Below are 21117 nucleotides of genomic sequence, written 5' to 3'. Positions count from 1 at the left end.
CCCCAGGCTGGAGTGCAATGGCACGATCTCGGCTCACTGCAACCTCCGCCTCTTGGGTTCAAGCAATTCTCTTGCCTCAGCCTCCCAAGTAGCTGGGATTACAGGCACCTGCCACCATGCCCGGCTAATTTTTGTATTTTAAGTAGAGACTGGGTTTCACCATGTTGGCCAGGCTGGTCTTGAACTCCTGACCCCAGGTGATCCACCCACCTCAGCCTCCCAAAGTGCTGGGATTACAGGCGTGAGCCACCACAACTGGCCTATTTTATTTTATTTTTTTTGAGGCGGAGTCTCACTCCATCGCCCAGGCTGGAGTGCAGTGGCACAGTCTCGGCTCACTGCAAGCTCTGCCTCCTGGATTCACACCATTCTCCTGCCTCAGCCTCCCAAGTAGCTGGGACCACAGGTGCCCGCCACCACGCCCGGCTTTTTGTGTGTGTGTGTGTGTATTTTTAGTAGAGACGGGGTTTCACTGTGTTTGCCAGGATGCTCGCTCTCCTGACTTCGTGATCCACCCGCGTCGGCCTCCCAAAGTGTGGTGATTACAGGCGTGAGCCACCGTGCCTGGCCTCCATATGAATTTTAGAATAAGCTTGTCTATTTCTAAAAATATTGACTAGGTTGTAAACAGCCCCACAGGTTCATCTTGCCCGCTGCCTAGACGGAGCCGATTTATCAAGATGGGAATTGCAATAGAGAAAGAGTAATTCACACTGGAGTTTTATTACTCATCAGTCTCCCTGAGAATTTGGGGATTGAAGTTTTTAAGGATAATTTGGTGGGTAGGGAGAAAGTGAGTCTGAGTTCAGACAGGGAGTTCTGATTGGCCAGAGATGAAATAATAGGGAGTCAAAGCTATCCATCCTCTTGTGCTGAGTCAGTTCCTGGGTAGGGGCCACAAAACCAAATGAGCCAGTTTATTGATCTGGGTGGTATCAGTTGATTCACTGAGTACAGGATTTGCAAAATATTTCAAGTACTTATCTTAGGTTTTATAATAGTGTTGTTATCCACTGGATCAACTTGGGAAGGGTCAGAATCTTGTAGCCTCTAGCTGCGTGAATCCTAAACCATAATTTCTGATCTTTTGGCTAATTTGTTGGTCCTACAAAGGCAGTCTAGTCCTCAGGCAAGAAGGGGGTTTGTTTTGGGAAAGGGCTGTTATTATGTTTGTTTCAAACTATAGACTGTACATTAAGTTCCTCCCAAACTTAGTTTGGCCTACTGTCAGGAATGAACAAGAGCAGCTTAGAGGTTAGAAGCAAGATGGAGGTTAGGTCAGATCTCTTTCACTGTCTTAGTTATAATTTCGCAATGATGGTTTCATTATAATAGGAAATATGTTAGATCTGTATATTAATTTGGGAGAATTGAACATGTTTGCCATGCTTAGTCCTCCAATCCATGAACATGGTATGTCCTTCCATTTATTTTGATCTTTGATTTATTTTATCATTGGTTTGTAGTTTTGAGCATACAGATCCTGTACAGGTTTTGTGAGATTTACACCTAAGTATTTAAGTATTTTTTTAATGATTGCAAATGATATTGTGTTTTAATTTCATCTTCTCCATGTTTATTACTGGTCTATAGAAATATAATTCATTGAGACCAGCCTGAGCAACATTGTGAAACTCCGTCTCTACAAAGAATACAAAAATTAGCCAGATGTGGTGGCACATGCCTGCAGTTCCATCTACTTGGGAGGCTGAGGTGAAAGTCTCCTTTGAGTTTGGGTTGCAGAAGTTGTAGTGAGCTGAGATCATACAACTGCACTTCAGCCTGAGCAACAAAGCAAGAACCTGTCTCAAAAAAAAAAAGAAAAGAAATATAATTCATTTTTATATGTTGATCTTGTATCCCGCAACCTTACTGAACCCTTTTACTGGTTTTACTGTTTCTTCTACCACTCTTTTTACTGGAGTACAGTGGCATGATCTCGGCTCACTGCAATCTTCGATTCCTGGGCTCAAGCGATTCACCTGCCTCAGCCTCCCAAGTAGCTGGGATTACAGGCACCCGCCACCATGCCCAGCAAATTTTTGTATTTTTAGTAGAGATGGGGTTTCACCATGTTGGCCAGGCTGGTCTCGAACTCCTGACCTCAGGTGATCCACCCACCTCAGCCTCCCAAAGTGCTGGGATTACAGGCATGAGCCACCGTGCCCAGCCTTTTTTTTTTTTTTTTTTCTTTTCTCTTTCTTTTTAAGAGATGGGGTCTCCCTACATTGCCCAGGTTGGTCTTGAACTCCTGACCTCAGGTCATCTGCCCACCTCGGCCTCCCAAAGTGCTAGGATTAGAGGCGTGAGCCACCATGTCCGGCACTGTTTGTTTTATAATAGCATCCTAATGAGTGTGAAGTGGTATCTCAATGTGGCTTTGATTTGCATTTACCTAATTATTAATGATGTTGAGCATCTTTTCATGTGCTTATTGACCATTTGTATATCTTCTTTGGTGCAATGTTTGTTAATTCAAGTTCTTTGCCCATTTCAAAATCAGGTTGTTTGTTTTAATGTTGTTGAATTGTAGCAGTTATTTATATAGTCTGGATAGCAATTTTTTATGAGATATATGACTTGCAAATATTTTTTCCCATTTTGTGGATTGCATTTTCACTCTGTGGGTAGTATTTTACAGTGTTTTTGAGGGTATCTCTTTTTATAGTTGTTTTGAGTGGTTGCTCTAGGTGTTGCCTTATACATACAAAATGGATTACAGTATACTACTATTGTTTTACCATGTCAAGTGAAATGTAGAAAATTTACCTTATTTATATACCTTACCCTCCCCATTCATAATACAATTGTATTAAATATTTCCTCTACCTATTAGAGAACCTCATTAAATAATTTTATGATTTTTGCTTCTACTGTTAGCAGTGGCAGAGATCTGAGTTACCCCAAGGTACCAGCAGCCTATCTGTATGGGTCCATGGCAAGTTCCAGAGCAGGAATGGAAGTTTATTTAAAAAGGCCTTAGAATAGGAAAGAAAGGAAGGTGCGCTTGGAATAAAAAAAAAAAGCAGGCACATGAAGTTTAATAGAGAAGGTCAAATGCCGTTTAACCATGATCCTAGGACTTTCGTAAGTTTGCCTCTTTCCCAGGATTCTTCCCATAGGGTGGGCTTTCCGCATGCCCAGTGCTTTCCTTACCCTTTGGAACCGAGCCTGTTCAGTGTGTTTAGGGAGTTATATGCATGCCCAATCTGAGGCTTTCTTCCTTTTTCTGGTGGTGCGTCCCCAGAAAATCATACTTCACCATTTTTGTCTCTTAACATCCATGACCAGGAAGTTGCTTCTCCCTGGAACCTGCATTCAATTAACAGGTGTGGACCATCAGGAAATGGCCTCTCCCTGGCCCTGCCACATTATCATTTTTAGAGAGGCAATGTGGTAACTGCCGAACCATCACCAGACATTTCTAATGGGTGCAGGGAGAGTCAGTCCTCTCCTGTGCCACTCATGCCTGACTACCTGTAATACTGCCGTCAAATGTAATCTTTTTAAAAACCAAGAAGATAATTTTTTTGTTGTTGTTAACCATGTTTTTACCCTTTCCATTGTTCTTTTCTCATTACTGCTATTTAAAGATTCCTTCTTTTATCATTTTCCATCTGTTTCGAAAGCTTCCTTCGGCCATTTTAAAGGATAGATTGGCTGGCAAAAGTTCTTAATTTTCCTTTATTTGAAAATGTCTTGGCCAGATGCAGTGGCTCACACTTGTAATCCCAGCACTTAGAGAAGCCGAGGTGAGCAGATCGCTTGAGCCCAGGAGTTCAAGACCAGCCTGGGCAACATGGTGAGACCCTGTACAAAATTAGCTGGATATGATGGCACATGCCTGTAGTACCAGGTACTCATGAGGCTGAAGTGGGAGGATCAATTAAGCCTGGGAGGACAAAGCTGCAGTGAGCTCTGATTGCACCACTTCACTCCAGCCTGGACAACAGATTGAGACCCTGCAAAAAAAAAAAAAAAAAAGAAAAGAACATGAAAGAGAAAGAAAGAAGAAAGAGAAAGAAGAGAAGAAGGAAGGAAGGAGAAAGAGAAAAAGAAAAGAAGGAAGGAAGGAAAAAGAAAGGAAAGAAGAAAACCAGAAAGAAAGGAAGGAAGGAGAAAGAAAAAGGAAAAAAAAGAAAGAAAAGAAAGAGAGAAAGAGAAAATGTGTGTAACTGAATTTCCATCCTGAAGGATATTTTATGCACATAAAATGTTGGGTTGACTATTCTCTCAGCACTTGAAAAGTGTGCCACTTCCTTCTTGCCTCTATGATTTCTCATGACATTTGAATTGTTGTTCCCCTCTGCTTCGAGTTGGTATTTGAATTTAAAAAATAATAAAATTAAATAAAAATAAAAATAAATGGATTTTGTCCCCTTATAGGTAATGCACCTTTGGCTGATTTCAAGATGTTTTCTTTGTCCTTAGTTTTCAAAAGTGTGATTATGATGTCCTTGTTCTGGATTTCTTTGGGTTCATCTGTCAAGAGTTTCCTCAGCTTCTTGAATCTACGTTTACGTCTGTTGCCAAATTTGGGGAACATCCAGCCATTATTTTTTTGAAATTTGTTCATCCCCACTCTCTTTCTCTTTTCTAAGACTCTGATCACACAAATGCTAGATCTCTTTTGTTATTTTCCAACGGTACCTAAGGCTCAGTTCTTTTTTTTTTTTTCTTCCTGTTGTCCATGTAGGGTAATTTCTACTGTTCTGTCTTTATATTTACAGGTCCTTTCTTCTGTTATCTCCATTCTATTTTTTTTTTTTTTTTTTGAGACCAAGTCTCACTCTGTTCCCCAGGCTGGAGTGCAGTGGCATCATCTTGGCTCACTGCAACCTCCGCCTCCCAGGTTCAAGTGATTCTCCTGCCTCAGCCTCCAGAGTAGCTGGGATTACAGGTGTGCGCCACCACACCCAGCTAATTTTTTGTATTTTTAATAGACATAGTATTTCACCATGTTGGCTAGGCTGGTTTCAAACTCCTGAGCTCAGGCGATCTGCCTGCCTCGGCTTCCCAAAGTGCTGGGATTACAGGCATGAGCCACCGCTCCCAGCCGCAGCTCTCCATTCTATTTTTAGCCATCCAATTTGTTTTCAATTTCAGTTATTGTGTTTTCAAATTTTAAAATTTCCATTTGGTTCTTATGTCTTCTATTTCTTTGCGTAGATTTTCTAATCTTTCATTTGTTGTATGCATATTTATAATTGCTCATTGAAGCATTTTATTATGTCTACATTAAAATCCTTGTCAGATAATTATAAGATTTGTGTCATCTTGGTGTTGGCATCTGTTGCTGTTACGAGATCCTTGGGGTGTCAATTTTCTGGCCTGAAACCTCTGGCCAGTGGTGCCTTTGCCTGAGTTTTGCTCAGGCCTGCTGGGCTCATTCTGCCCACTTGGATTTGCAGGCTGCACTCAGCTCACACTACCAGCATGGATCCCACATCTGCCAAGGGTGAGTCAGGCATGGAGTGGTGAGGGGTGTGTGAGCAAGCATGGGGTCCAGCCACTGCTGCAGTCAGACATGCTAGCTGCTGCAGTGGGGCCAGCAGCTCCGGGTGCTGGCAAGGGCCCTGGCTCTCTGCGAGGCTGTGGCTGGACCAGGCGCACTGCAAGCAGCTTCCCTGGCTAGCACCAGGAAATGCAGTGGTGTCTGGAAGCCTGGAGACGCCAGGCACTGCAGGACCCCAAAGAGGGAGTCACAGTCCTGGCTTGGGGAGCTCCTAGGTCTGGGCTCCCTGAGGAGTCACAGCTCTTCTCTCCTCTTCACCTGCAACATGGCAAGCAAGGGGCATGTTTCAGCCCTGTTTGTGTTATAGCTTTTTTAGCTCCACCATTCGGTGGGTCCCGAGTTCTTGTCCTGTGACCAGGAAGAATGAGGTATGCAGACAAGTGGAGGGTGAGCAAGATGAAGAGGAGCTTTATTGAGCAATAGACAACTTACTGGAGACCCACAGCGGGGTCTGCAGCCAGGGTGTCCCAAGAGTGTTCAGCTCCTAGTAGAGAGGAGGCACTAAAGTGGGTTTCTCTTTTCTGCAAGCAGGTCTTCCAGTCCTCTTCCCAGCTCTCAGTAGAGAGGAGGACTTGGAGTGGGTAGCTCCTCTCTGCAGCTGGTTGTCCTGTCGTCTGCTCAGCTCTGGCTGAATCCAGGGCTTTAATGGGTTCATAAAAGCCCTCAGAGGGGAGGAAGTGTGCACTATTGGTCCATGGGCAGCCATGGGTGACTGGGAAAAGGCACCACAAGTTCCTACTCCATGGGACTGTTAGCCCAGCCCCCAGTCCTCCTTGGCCTGAAGGTGGGGTCTCACCAGGGACCTACCCTCTTCCACCCAGGAATCTGTCTGCCTCCTGCTGTCATTTATGGTATCCTCCCAGACTTTGCTCTGAGATGGGAAGGGGGAACAGCAGGGAGAAGCCAGGCAGTGAGAGCAGGCGCTTTCAAGCCTACGAGGGCAGGGGGGCATTCCCGGGTCCCCAAGAGTGCAGGGATGTCTGAGTCTCCAGCCAGGGTTTGGGTGGCGGCAGCTGCGTGTGGGGTTGGGGGAGGGGGGACAGGACTCCTGCCTGCTCTTCTGAGTGGGAGGCCCAGGTCTGCAGCTGCAGTTTTGGTGGCTGCAGCTGTGCCCTGGAGGACAGGGATCCTGCCTGCTCCCAGCCCCGAAAGAGCGCAGGGAGGCTCGGATCTGCAGCCACAACTTGTGCAGCTGCAGCTCCGCCCAAGAGGGCGGGGCTCCTGTTTCCTCCATGAAGTGGGAGGCCCGGTCTGCAGCCACCGTTTGGGTAGCCGCAGCGGCGCCCAGGGACGTCCTGCCCCAGTTCAGAAGGGGCAGGGCTCCCGCTTGTTCCCTCCGGCTCCACTAAGCATGCAGCCCCAGGTGCCTCCCTGCTGCAGCTGGTGTGATGGTAGTGGCAGACCATCTGGAGCAGCCGCTGCCATCATTGCCTCATTCAAATGGAGGTTTTTCTGGGTTCTTGGTATGACAAGTGATTTTTTTTATTGTATCTTGGACATACTGGTATTATTTTATGATTTTCTGGATCTTACTGAAATTTTATATTTTAGCAGGCCTCCACTGACACCTTGCTAGTGGAGGAAGGAAGGGGACACCATCTTGGTTTTTTTTTTTTTTTTTTTTTGAGGCAGAGTTGCACAGGCTGGGGTGCAGTGGCACGATCTTGCTTCACTGAAACCTCCGCCTCCCTGGTTCAAGAGATTCTCCTGCCTCAGCCTTGCGAGTAGCTGGGATTACAGATGCCCACCACCACACCTGGCTAATTTTTGAAGTTTTAGTAGAGATGGGTTTCACCATGTTGGCCAGACTGGTCTTGAAATCCTGACCTCAGGTGATCCACCCACCTCAGCCTTCCAAAGTGCTGGGATTACAGGAATGAGCCACCATGCGGGGCCTGGACACCATCTTGTTACCACTGGGTGGAGGTGGAAGTCCATGCTTCTCCCTGAGCCTCTGCTGACATGAGGAAAGGTGCCTCATTTTTGCTGGGTAGGGGTAGAAATGTAGACACCCGATTCAGCCTCCACTGCTACCACCGGTATAGGGAGGGGGGCACTGTTGCTGCCAGGCAGGGGTGGAAATCTAGACACCCAGCTCCGCTTCTGGAGACACTGCAGGAAGGCAGAATGGTGCTTCATTATTGCTAGGTAAGGTGGAAGTATAGGCTCCTCATTCAGCTCTGACTGCAGTTTTTGCCATGAAGTTTGGCTGGAGTACTGTAAATGCTGTCAAAAGATTTTCTCTCCTACTAGGCCACCCATTTTCCAGTTCTTTGGCTGGAGAAAGAATTGGGGCTTGGGGGACAGTTTTATCTGCCATATAATAATCAGCTGGCAATTTTAAAAAACAAGCCTCTGGGATTTTAAGTGGGATTGTATAAGCAAAATGGAATAAATCTTTAGAATTCTGATTCTTCCAATATATGAAAATGTTATAACCCTCCATTTGTTTAGGTCTTTAATTGTTTTAATATTATTTACTCGCTTTTAGCATACAGATCTTGCACATCTTTCATTAGAATTAATTTATTTTGGATACTGATGTAAATGCTATAATTTAAGATAACTTATTTTCCAATTAATTTTTTAACAATAATTTATTTTTATGTGTTGATTTTGTATTCAGGTCCTGCTAAATTTATTTGTTCTGTATATTCATTTTGAGGTTTTTTTATTTTTTTATTTTTATTTATTTATTTTTTTGAGACGAAGTCTCCCTCTGTTGTCAGGCTGGAGTGCAGTGGCCCTATCTCGTCTCACTGCAACCTCCGCCTCCTGGGTTCAAGCGATTCTCCTGCCTCAGCCTCCTGAGTAGCTGAGACTACAGGCACCTGCCACCACACCCAGCTAATTTTTGTATTTTTAGTAGAGACGGGGTTTCACTGTGTTGGCCAGGCTGGTCTCGAACTCCTGACCTCATGATCCACCCGCCTCGGACTCCCAAAGTGCTGGGATTACAGGCATGAGCCACCGCACCCGGCCTCATTTTGAGTTTTTTATGTTGGCTGTGAATAATGAAAATTTTGTTTCTTGTTTTCCAGAACTTACATACTTATTCCTTATTGCCTCATTGCACATTGTTAAATATAAATTGTCCAGTTTAATGTTGAATCAAAATAGTGACAGAGGATAAACTCATTTTATTCCATATCTCAAGGGGAAACCTTTTTTTTTTTTTTTTTTTTTTGAGACGCGGTCTCGCTCTGTAGCCCAGGCTGGAGTGCGGTGGTGCAATCTCGGCTCACTGCAAGCTCTGCCACCCGGGTTCATGCCATTCTCCTGCCTCAGCCTCCTGAGTAGCTGGGACTACAGGCGCCCGCCACCACACCTGGTTTTTGTTTTTTTTGTTTTTTTTTTTTGAGACGGAGTCTTGCTCTGTTGCCCAGGCTGGAGCGGGATCTCGGCTCACTGTAAGCTCCGCCTCCTGGGTTCGCGCCATTCTCCTGCCTCAGCTTCCTGAGTAGCTGGGACTACAGGCGCCCTCCACCACGCCCGGCTAATTTTTTGTATTTTTAGTAGAGACGGGGTTTCACCGTGTTAGCCAGGATGGTCTTGATCTCCTGACCTCGTGATCCTCCTGCCTTGGCTTCCCAAAGTGCTGGGATTACAGGCGTGAGCCACCGCGCCCGGCCAGTGGGAAAGCTTTTAATATTTGGCAATAAATATTTTGTTTGCTATGCTTTTTTATAGTAATCTTTTCTCAGATTAATTAAGGAAATACTCTTTCATCACTACTTAAAAAGGTTTCTAAAAAAGTTTTTATTTATTTTGTTTCTATTGCTGCTGAACAAATTCATAGCAAAGATTTTTTTTTTTAAATCCTGAATGGGTATAGCATTTTATCAAATGCTTATTCTCCATCAGTTGTGACAAGTGCATTTTTTTTTTTTAAGTATTTATTGATCATTCTTGGGTGTTTCCCAGAGAGGGGGATTTGGCAGGGTCATAGGACAATAGTGGAGGGAAGGTCAGCAGATAAACATGTGAACAAAGGTCTCTGGTTTTCCTAGGCAGAGGACCCTGCGGCCTTCCGCAGTGTTTGTGTCCCTGGGTACTTGAGATTAGGGAGTGGTGTTGACTCTTAACGAGCATGCTGCCTTCAAGCATCTGTTTAACAAAGCACATCTTGCACCGCCCTTAATCCATTTAACCCTGAGTGGACACAGCACATGTTTCAGAGAGCACAGGGTTGGGGGTAAGGTCACAGATCAACAGGATCCCAAGGCAGAAGAATTTTTCTTAGTACAGAACAAAATGAAAAGTCTCCCATGTCTACTTCTTTCTACACAGACACGGCAACCATCCGATTTCTCAATCTTTTCCCCACCTTTCCCCCTTTTCTATTCCACAAAACCGCCATTGTCATCATGGCCCATTCTCAATGAGCTGTTGGGTACACCTCCCAGACCGGGTGGTGGCCGGGCAGAGGGGCTCCTCACTTCCCAGTAGGGGTGGCCGGGCAGAGACGCTCCTCACCTCCTAGACGGGGTCGCGGCCGGGCAGAGGCGCTCCTCACATCCCAGACGGGGCGGCGGGGCAGAGGCGCTTCCCACATCTCAGACGATGGGCGGCCGGGCAGAGACGCTCCTCATTTCCTAGACGGGATGGCGGGGGGCAGAGACGCTCCTCACTTTCCAAACTGGGCAGCCAGGCAGAGGGGCTCCTCACATCCCAGACGATGGGCAGCCAGGCAGAGACGCTCCTCACTTCCCAGACGGGGTGGCGGCCGGGCAGAGGCTGCAATCTCGGCACTTTGGGAGGCCAAGGCAGGCTGCTGGGAGGTGGAGGTTGTAGCGAGCCGAGATCACGCCACTGCACTCCAGCCTGGGCAACAACATTGAGCACTGAGTGAACGAGACTCCGTCTGCAATCCCGGCACCTCGGGAGGCCGAGGCTGGCGGATCACTCGTGGTTAGGAGCTGGAGACCAGCCCGGCCAACACGGCGAAACCCCGTCTCCACCAAAAAAATACGAAAACCAGTCAGGCGTGGCGGCGCGCGCCTGCAATCGCAGGCACTCGGCAGGCTGAGGCAGGAGAATCAGGCAGGGAGGTTGCAGTGAGCCGAGATGGCAGCAGTACAGTCCAGCTTCGACTCGGCATCCTGAGACACTTCTTGAAGTGGACAGCAGAGGCTGACATAGCAGGACACCGGGCAGTGAGAGGCAGTGGGGCCGATGGCGTGAGGAGCACCAGGGAGCAGGAGGGAACGGGCCCGGGGCGTGAATCCGGCCCCACTGTCGGATGAGTGCTCTTCGGCCGCCCAAATCCGGTCCCACGGGTAACAGCGTGGCCTTCAGCAAGTGACTAAAGGGCTTCCTGCCTCAGCTTCCCCACCTCTGCTTCATGCTGCGGTGTCCCTCAGCGCCGGCGTCCCTTTGACCGGCCTGTACCGCCTGTGACAAGTGCATTTTTATCCTTTAATTTAAATGTTAAATCAACTTTATATTTTTGGAATAAACTCAATATCATACAACATTTACCCTTTTATAGATTGCTGGATTTGTCTTGCTAATATTTTATTTAGAATTTTTGTGTCTATGTTTATGAGAGCAATTGACCTATAGGTTTCTTTCCTTTTAATGTTCTTTTCCAGGTTTTGGTATCAAGGTTGTGCTGGCCTCTTAGTATGAATTGGGCAGTATTTTCTCTTTTTCTAATTCCTGGAAGATTTTGTGTAATATAAATATCATTTATTCTTTAAGTGTTTGGCAATTTTTACTTTTTTTCTTTTAATTTTGCTTTCGTGACACAGACCTCAGGGGGTCCTAAGAACATGTTCCCCTGGATTTTTTTTTTTTTTTTTTTGAGATGGAGTTTCTTTCGCCCAGGCTGGAGTCGAGTGGTGCAATCTCGGCTCATTGCAACCTCCTCCCGCTGGGTTCAAGCGATTCTCCTGCCTCAGCCTCCCGAGTAGCTGGGATTAAAGGCGCCCACCATCATGACAGGCTAATTTTTGTATTTTTAGTAGAGACAGGGTTTCATCATATTGGCCAGGCTGGTCTCGAACTCCTGACCTCAGGTGATCCACCCACCTTGGCCTCCCAAAGTGCTAGGATTACAGGTGTGAGCCACCGCGCCCAGCCCTCCCCTGGAAATTTTAATGATAAACCTACCAGGACCTAGAGGTTTTTTGTAAGATTTTTTTTTCTTTTTTTTTTTAGACAGATCTCACTCTGTTGTGCAGGCTGGAATGCAGTGGTGCAATCTTGGCTTACTGCAGCCTCTACCTTCTGGGCTCAGGTGGTCCTCCCACCTCAGCCTCCTAAGTAGCTGGGGCTCCAAGTGAACGCCACCATGCCTTGCTCATTTTCTGATTCTTTTGTAGAGATGAGGTCTTACTACATTGCCCAGCCTGGTCTCAAACTCCTGGGCTCAAGCAATCCTACTGCCTTGGCCTCCCAAAGTGCTAGGAGTACAGGTGTGAACCACTTTGCCTGGCCTGTAAGGAAATTTTACATAAAAGATTTAAATCTTTATTAGGTATAGGATTATTCAAATTATCAGTTTATTTGTCTGTTTTGGTAAGTTATGTTTTTCAAGAATTTTTAAATATTTTAATTCTAAACTTGACATAATGTTGATAGTGTTCTTTTATCTTTATAATCTTTGTAGCATCTTATTGCCATTGTGATTGACTGATTTATTTAACAGTGAAGAATTGTGATTTAATTTGAACTGAGGCTATACAGTAGTTTATTACTTAATTTCTATGCAGTTGGGGATTTTATAGTTATCTTGGTGATTTACAGCTCAATTTCACAGTATTCATGAAGAGAACATAGTTAGTATTATTTCAATCCTTTGAAATTTTTGGAGACTTTCCACAACAGATAGATGTATGCTCTATTTTGGTAAATATCCATAAATCTTGAAAAGAACATATATTCTAACATATATTAGATGCTATTAGTGTTCTATATATGTCAATTATGACAAGTTTATTAATTTTGCTGTTCATATCTCTATATCCTTACCAATATTTTTGTCAGATTGTCCTATCAATCTATCGTTTTCCAAGGGAGAGGTGTTAAACTCCTCGACTATGAATGAAAATTTGTCCATTTCTCCTTTACGTCTGGTTGGGTTTTGCTTTATATGTGTTTGAGGTTATGTTAGTAAATTTATATGGTTTTATGATGACTATAACCTTCTGTTTCATTGGCCCCTTGGTCATTATAAAACGTCCTTCTTTGTGTCTAGTATTGCTCTTCCCCTTTATGTCTACTATGATTGATATGAGCATAGCTACACTAGCATTCTTTTGGTTAATGTATGCGATATATATATATATATATATATTTCATTCTTTTACTTTCAATCTTTTCCCTTATATTTTAGATGCTGCATCTAAAGAAATGCAGGATACACGTTTAATCCTTTCCTTTTTTTTTCTTTTGCTAGTTTTCAAGATATTAAATGCATTTCCTATTATCATCCGCATCTGACCCTGGTAGCGGGCACCCCTTGACCCTGACCAACTCTGAACGGGGTTAACCTGAGAACCAATAGGATATTGCAAAAATAACTACGTGTGCCTTCTGAGAACTTCCAAGGTCATAAAATACATTGTTACTTTCCATGTGGGGAGGCAGTCGTCATGTCATGAGAATACTCAGCCCTGTGGAGAAAAGCTGAGGCCTCCTGCTGACAGTTAGCACTGACACCAGCCATATGAGCAAGTTATCTTCTAAGCATATCCTTCCTGTTTTCAATTGGCTGCAGCCCCAGTTGACAACTTAACTGCCAAGGCACAATTTCCTAACTATATGCTCCCAAATTTCTGATTCATAGAAAACTGTGTGAAATAGTAAACGTTTATCGGTTTTATGGTTTTTTTTTTTTTTTTTTTTTTGAGATGGAGTCTTGCTCGGTTGCCCAGGCTGGAGTGCAGTGGTGCGATCTCAGCTCATTGCAACCTCTGCCTCCTGGGTTCAAGCGATTCTCCTGCCTCAGCCTCCTGAGTAGCTGGGACTACAGGCACCCAGCTAATTTTTGTATTTTTAGTAGAGACGAGGTTTCGCTATATTGGCTGGGCTGGTCTCAAACTCCTGAACTCAGGATGACCTGCCCTCCTCAGCCTCTCAAAGTGCCGGGATTATAGGCATAAGGCCAATGTTTTATTGTTTTTTAAAAGCTGCTAACTTCTAGGGCAATTTATTACATGGTAATAAGTAACTAATACAGATTTTGGTACATGGATGTGAGATGCTGCCATAGTAAAAGTCTAAAAAGTTGGAGTGGCATTCATAGTGGCAGCAAGCTGCAAGAACCTTGAGGAAAGTGTCACTGAAAGCCTAAAATTTCTTGAGGAGACTGTTAGTTAAATTCTGATAGCCTTTGAGAAGGCTACAAGTGTGCACTTAAAGAAACATGAGGAAGGTGTTACTGAAAACTGGAGACCAGTTTAAAGCTCATAGGAATACGCTTGCTTCTTTTAGTGAGTATTTTGGTGTTATCTACAAAAGCACTTCTGAGAATAATGTCTTTTTGATCAGAATCAGGCTGATGAATTTCAGAAACAGTTGGAGTTTACATACATAGAGACATTAAATCTTGACAGAGATATTTAGCATTACTGGAAACACTGAATTGAACCAACAGACTTGTCTTCTTACTCTATTTTAAGATCGTAATAATTGGGAGAAATCAAAAGTATCTACAAATTTAGTTCAGGCAAATCGTGAACAAGAGGTTTTGGCAAAGAAGTCACCTCAAACTAAAAAGAAAAAGAAGTCTTTCAACTCCCAGAAGACAGAATAGAATAAAACAGTGTAATATCTCAGTGACATTTTAGAGAATGCATCTATTGAATCATTCCTAGATGCAAATAAATTGTCCACACCCAGAGTAGAACAAGTTGCACAAAGAAATAATTCAGAACTTGAGCTGACATAAGCTGTGGAAAATTCTTTTCTAGCACAAGATGTGCAAACTGTTACAGTGAAACAGAAATGTGGAAAATCACAGCCAAGCTGTGCTCTGAAAGAACACTCATGTCTAATATAGCCAGTGTACAAGATTATAGTAACCAAAACAACGTGGTATAAAAATAGACACATAGATCAATGGAACAGAATAGGGAACCCAGTAATAAAGCCATATACTCATAGCCAACTGATTTTTGACAAAGTTGACAAAAACATACACTGAGAAAATGACACTCTTCAATAAATGGTACTGGGATTTTTTTTTTTTTAGGACATAGTCTCACTCTATTGCCTAGGCTGCAACCTCTGTCTCCTGGGTTGAAGAGATTCTTGTGCCTCAGCCTCCCAAGTAGCTGGGATTACAAGTGTGTGCCACCACATCTGGCTAATTTTTGTATTTTTAGTAGAGACGGAGTTTCACCACGTTGGCCAGGCTGGTCTACTCTCCTGCGTAGCTGGGATTATAGGTGCCTGCCACCACGCCTGGCCAATTTTTTGTATTTTTAATAGAAATGGGGTTTCACTATGTTGGCCAGACTGGTCTTGAACTCCTGACCTCGTGATCTGCCTGTCTCGGCCTCCCAAAGTGCTGGGATTACAGGTGTGAGCCACCACGTGCGGCTAGGAACATTTTATATATATGTGTGTAGTGTACACACCATGGAATACACACACATATATATACACATACACACACCTCCATAACATATATGTATCTGTTATAAATACATATATATTGTGTATATACATACGCACACATATATACATACATACACACACCATGGAGTATATACACACATATGTATATATGGAGTATATACACACATATGTATATATGGAGTATATACACACATATGTATATATGGAGTATATACACACATATGTATATATGGAGTATATACACACATATGTATATATGGAGTATATGCACACATATGTATATATGGAGTATATGCACACATATGTATATATGGAGTATATGCACACATATGTATATATGGAGTATATGCACACATATGTATATATGGAGTATATGCACACATATGTATATATGGAGTATATGCACACATATGTATATATGGAGTATATGCACACATATGTATATATGGAGTATATGCACACATATGTATATATGGAGTATATGCACACATATGTATATATGGAGTATATGCACACATGTATATATGGAGTATATGCACACATATGTATATATGGAGTATATGCACACATATGTATATATGGAGTATATGCACACATATGTATATATGGAGTATATGCACACATATGTATATATGGAGTATATGCACACATATGTATATATGGAGTATATGCACACATATATAACTTTGTGTGTGTGTGTGTGTATACACACATACCATAGAATACTAATCAGCCATAAAAAAGAATATAATCATGTTTCCGCAGCAACATGAATAGAACTGGAGGCCATTATCTTAAGTGAAATAACTCAGTACCAGAAAGTCAAATACTACATGTTCTCACTTATAAGTGGGAGCTAAATAATGTGTACACATGGACATAGTGAAATAATAGACATTGAAGACCGGAAAGGTGGGGAGGGTACCAGAGAGTGAGGGATGAGGAATTAACTAATGGGTACAATGTACACTATTCAAGTGATGGCTACACCAAAAGCCCAGACATCACTGCTATGTAATGTATCCATGTAACAATATTGCACTTGTACCCCTTAAACTATAAAAATAAACTGAAAAAACTAGAAAAACATGGATTCTGGTCACCTAGTGGCAAAAAGTTTAGCACCAGTATAATCTGCAGTAAAATGGAAGGTAGAAAATGTACCTAGTGAAATGGGTGATCTAAGAAGGTTTTCAGGATGGATGTCAAAAGCATTTCCTGATTCTTCTGGCTTCTTAGAGTAAAATATGAGAGAAGGGAGATAAGCTATTGAAAAGACCTTATATAAAACAGTCTTTTTTTTAAAACAAAAAGGAGCAATAATTCGTGGGTCAAAAAATGTCTAGCATCTACAGATGGCAAGTAAAGCTAACATTAACAAATGACAAGTGGGATTCCATCCAACAGCAGCAGAATGCACATTCTTCTCAACCACATATGCATATGGAACATTCTCTAGGATAGATCATATGTTACACCACAAAATGAGTTTTAACAGATTTAAGAAGACTGAAATTATATCAAGTATCTTTTTTGACCATAATGATATGAAAGCGACAGTCAGCAGAGTAAACAGACAACCCACAGAGTGGGAGAAAATCTTCACAATCTATACATCTGACAAAGGACTAATATCCAGAATCTACAAGGAGCTCAAATTAGCAAGAAAAAACAAACAATCCCATCAAAAAGTGGGCCAAGGACATGAATAGACAATTCTCAAAAGAAGATATACAAACGGCCAACAAACATATGAAAAAATGCTCAGTATCACTAAGGATCAGGTAAATGCAAATCAAAACCCCAATGCGATACCACCTTACTCCTGCAGTAATGGCCATAATTAAAAAATAAAAAAATAATAGATGTAGGTGTGGATGCAGTGAAAAGGGAACACTTTTACACTGCTGGTAGGATTGTAAACTAGTACAACCACTGTGAAAAACAGTGTGGAGATTCCTTAAAGAACTAAAAGTAGAATTATCATTTGATCCAGCAATCTCACTTCTAGGTATCTACCCAGAGGAAAAGAAATCATTATACAAAACAGATACTTGCACACACATGTTTATAGCAGCACAATTCACAATTGCAAAAGTAAGGAACCAGCCCAGATGCCCATCAATCAAAGAGTGGATAAAGAAATATATATACCAATATATATACATGATGGAATACTACTCAGCCATAAAAAGGAATAAATCAATGGCATTCAAAGCAATCCTAGACGGAACTGGAGACTATCATTCTAAGTGAAGTAACTTAGGGATGGAAAACCAAACATCATATGTTCTCACTCATAAGTGGGAGCTAAACTTTGAGGATGCAAAGGCATAAGAATGATACAATGGACTTTGGGGACTCGAGGGAAAGGGTGGGAGGCGGGTGATGGATAAAAGACTACAAATAGGGTTCAGTCTATACTGCTTGGGTGATGGGTGCACGAAAATCTCACAAGTCACCGCTAAAGAACTTACTCATGTAACCAAATACCACCTGTTCCCCAAAAATCTATGGAAATAAATTTTTTTTTTAAAAAGAAACTAGAAATCAATAACAAGGAATTTCAGAAAATTCACAACTATGTGGAAATTCAACAACATGCTCCTGAGCAACCAATGGGTCGAAGAAGAAATTAAAAGGGAAATTTAGAAATATCCTTCCTTTTTGAAATCCAGTCTCTGAAAATCTTGACACAAATGAAAATGGACGCATAAGATGCAGCAAAAGCAACTCTAAGAGGGAAATTTATAGCAATAAATGCCTACATCAAAAAAGAAGAAAGATCCCAAATAAACAACCTAACATTGCACTTCAAGGAACTAGAAAAAGAAAAACAAATTAAGCCCAAAGTTAGTAGAAGGAAGGAAAAAATAAAGATAAGAGCAAAATAAATGAAATAGAGACTAGAGAAACAATAAGAAATATCAACAATATTGAGTTGGGTTTTTTTTTTTTTTTTTTTGGCCAGGCAAGGTGGTTCACACCTGTAATCCCAGCACCTTGGGAGGCTGAGGTGGGTGGACTGCTTGAGCTCAGGAGTTTGAGACCAGCCTGGGCAACACGGCGAAACCCTGTCTCTACAAAAGAATGCAAAAATTATCCAGGTGTGGTGGCATGTGCCTATGGTCCCAGCTACTCAAGAGGCTGAGGTAGGAGGATAGCTTGAACCCAGGAGGTGGAGGTTGTAGTGAGCTGAGATTGTGCCACTGCACTCCAGTCTGGGTGACACAGAGAGAACCTGTCTTAAAAAAAAAAAGTTGATTAAAAAAAGGAAGATACAATCAACAAACTTTTTCAAGAACCTACAAGTATGAACAATAGAAGCAGAGAGTAGCGTGGTGGTTACCAGAACCTGTGAGGTGGAGGGATTGGGGAGATGTTGGTCAAAGGACACAAAATTTTATCTGGACAGGAGGAAAAAATTCAAGACATCTATTGTATATCATGGTGACTATAGTTAATAACAATATATTGTATACTTGAAAATTGTGAAGACAATAGATTTTAAGTATTCTAGCCACAAAAAATGATAAGTATATGAGGTAGTGAATATGTTAAATAGCTTGATTTAGCCATTCCACAATATATACATATATCAAAACATTATGTTGTACATCATAAATACATACACTTCCTACTAGTCAATTTTTAAAAAACAGCAAGTAGGAAATATTAAATTTAGGGTACTTTTAGGAAAACTGTCTAAAGATGAAGCTGAGAGTGATGGTAAAATCTTTTAAGACACAAATTTATTTATGCTAAGTAAGGGATCTGAGAAATTAACTACATAAGATACCTGCATAGAGAAGAGGCAGCAGTACTCTATCAATGTGGCAATTATTCTTGGCTTGCAAATCTTCACAAAGGTGTTCAGCTGCCTGTGATACATCTGATTGAAGTGAAAATTCCATTCCATCCTTAATAAAGTTTTCTTTCATAGGGTTTGTTTTATCTCTGCCTAGTCATACCAGTTCTTTTAATAAAGGCTCAGAATATTTCTGAATGTTTACTGTGAGGCAAGTTACATCTGAAATAAATGTTTCATCATCCTAGAAGAAGCAGATTTCAGGTCTGCTTGGGGAAATTCTGCAAACATAATGGCACAAGAAAGCTGAACATGAAGGAATAGGAAAAGATGTGTCATTCAAATACTCACCAAAATAGGCCAGGTGTGGTGGCACACATCTGTAATCCCAACACTTTGGGAGGCCGAGATGGGCGGATCACCTGAGGTCAGGAGTTCAAGACCAGCCTGGCCAACATGACAAAACCCTGTCTCTACTAAAAATACAAAAATTAGTCAGGCGTGGTGCTACACGCCTGTAATCCCAACTATTTGGGACGCTGAGACAAGAGAATTGCTTGAACCCAGAAGGCGGAGGTTGCAGTGAGCTGAGGTCGCGCCACTGCACTCCAGCCTGGAGACAGAGCAAGACTCCCTCTAAAAACAAAAACAAACAAACAATAAAACCTAACCAAAATAAAGCTAGTGTGGCAATATTAACATAAGACAAAATATAACTTATCATAAACATCATTACTGAGAAACCAGTAAGAGATAGACTTCTGGCATGACAGCATGAGGCGCTCTGTTGACCTTGCCTTCATTGAAACTGATGAAAATTATTTAAATGGCCGGGCGCAGTGGCTCACGCCTGTAATCCCAGCACTGTGGGAGGCTGTGGGCGGATTGCTTGAGGCCAGGAGTTCGAGACCAGCCTGGCTAACATGGTGAAACCCCATCTCTATAATACAAATTTTATACAAAATTAGCAGGGCGTGGTGGCACACACCTGTAATCCCAGCGACTCCAGAGGCTGAGGCAGGAGAATCGCTTGAACCTGGGAGGCAGAGGTTGCAGTGAGCAAAGATAGTGCCACTGCACTCCAGCCTGGGAGACAGAGTGAGACTTCGTCTCAAAAATAAAAATAAAAAAAAGAAAATTATTAAAAACATACACACACACACACACACACACACACACATGCACATGCACAAACAAGCCATATGAAGCCTCTGGAAATGGTCCTAAGGGTAAGCAGGAAAAGAACAAATATCTATTTCAGAAAATGTACACAAGTTTGGTAAGAAAGGTGAGAGTTTGTGGTATTTGAAACAAGACTGCTCTAGAGAGGAATATTTAATTCCAGACTACTGCAGCTGAGAACACACGCCTCTCTCTCCTCTTCATTTCCAGCCAGTGCTGAATGCTGACTTCACACCAAAAATTAACTCAAAATAGACCAAAGACTTACATGTAAGAACAAAAAGTATAAAACTCTAGAAGAAAACATTTAGAAGGTAAATATTCATGACCTTGAATTTGGCAAAGAATTCTCAGATATGACACCAAGAGCATGAGCAACAAACGAAAATACAGGTAAATTGGACTTCATCAAAATGAAAACCTTTGTGCTTCAAAAGACACCATCAAGAAAGTGAAAGACAACTCATATAATGGGAGAAATATTTGTAAACCATCTATATCTGATGAGTGACTTGTATCTAGAATACATAAGAAACTCTTATAAGTCAATAATAGAAAAACACATAACCCAATTTTAAATGGGCAAAGGATCTGAATAGATATTCCTTCAAATAAGACACACAAATAGCAAACAAAACAAAACAAAACCACATGAAAAGATGCTTGACATCACTAGTCATTAGGAACAAGAGTGAGATGCTGCTTCATAGCAACTAGGATGGCTAGAGTAAGAGTCAGAAAAGAACAAGTGTTGGTGAGGATGTGGAGAAATTAGAACCCTCTCTTTTTTTTTTTTTGAGATAGAGTCTCGCTCTGTCGCCCAGGCTGGAGTGCAGTGGCGCGATCTCGGCTCACTGCAAGCTCCGCCTCCCGGGTTCCCGCCATTCTCCTGCCTCAGCCTCCCGAGTAGCTGGGACTACAGGCGCCTGCCACCACGCCCGGCTAATTTTTTGTATTTTTGGTAGAGACGGGGTTTCACCGTGTTAGCCAGGATGGTCTCGATCTCCTGACCTCGTGATCCGCC

General features: G+C 42.4%; 1 pseudogene, besides 1 other annotated feature; it reads left to right on the top strand.

The window, feature by feature from the left end:
- Positions 5547-6047: an enhancer, noted in NCBI's record as "H3K4me1 hESC enhancer chr14:21660988-21661488 (GRCh37/hg19 assembly coordinates)". NCBI's record gives its function as "activates a minimal SCP1, AML or CMV promoter by ChIP-STARR-seq in naive H9 embryonic stem cells {active_cell/tissue: H9 hESC(naive)}" and the evidence as "EXISTENCE:reporter gene assay evidence [ECO:0000049][PMID:30033119]".
- Positions 13916-14535, top strand: LOC100129923 (myoneurin pseudogene; annotated as a pseudogene).

This window comes from Homo sapiens, chromosome 14 (genome assembly GCF_000001405.40).
Source record: "Homo sapiens chromosome 14, GRCh38.p14 Primary Assembly".
Taxonomy (NCBI): domain Eukaryota; kingdom Metazoa; phylum Chordata; class Mammalia; order Primates; family Hominidae; genus Homo; species Homo sapiens.
Note: the sequence above shows the minus strand (reverse complement) of the source record. Positions and strands in the feature narration are given on the sequence as shown.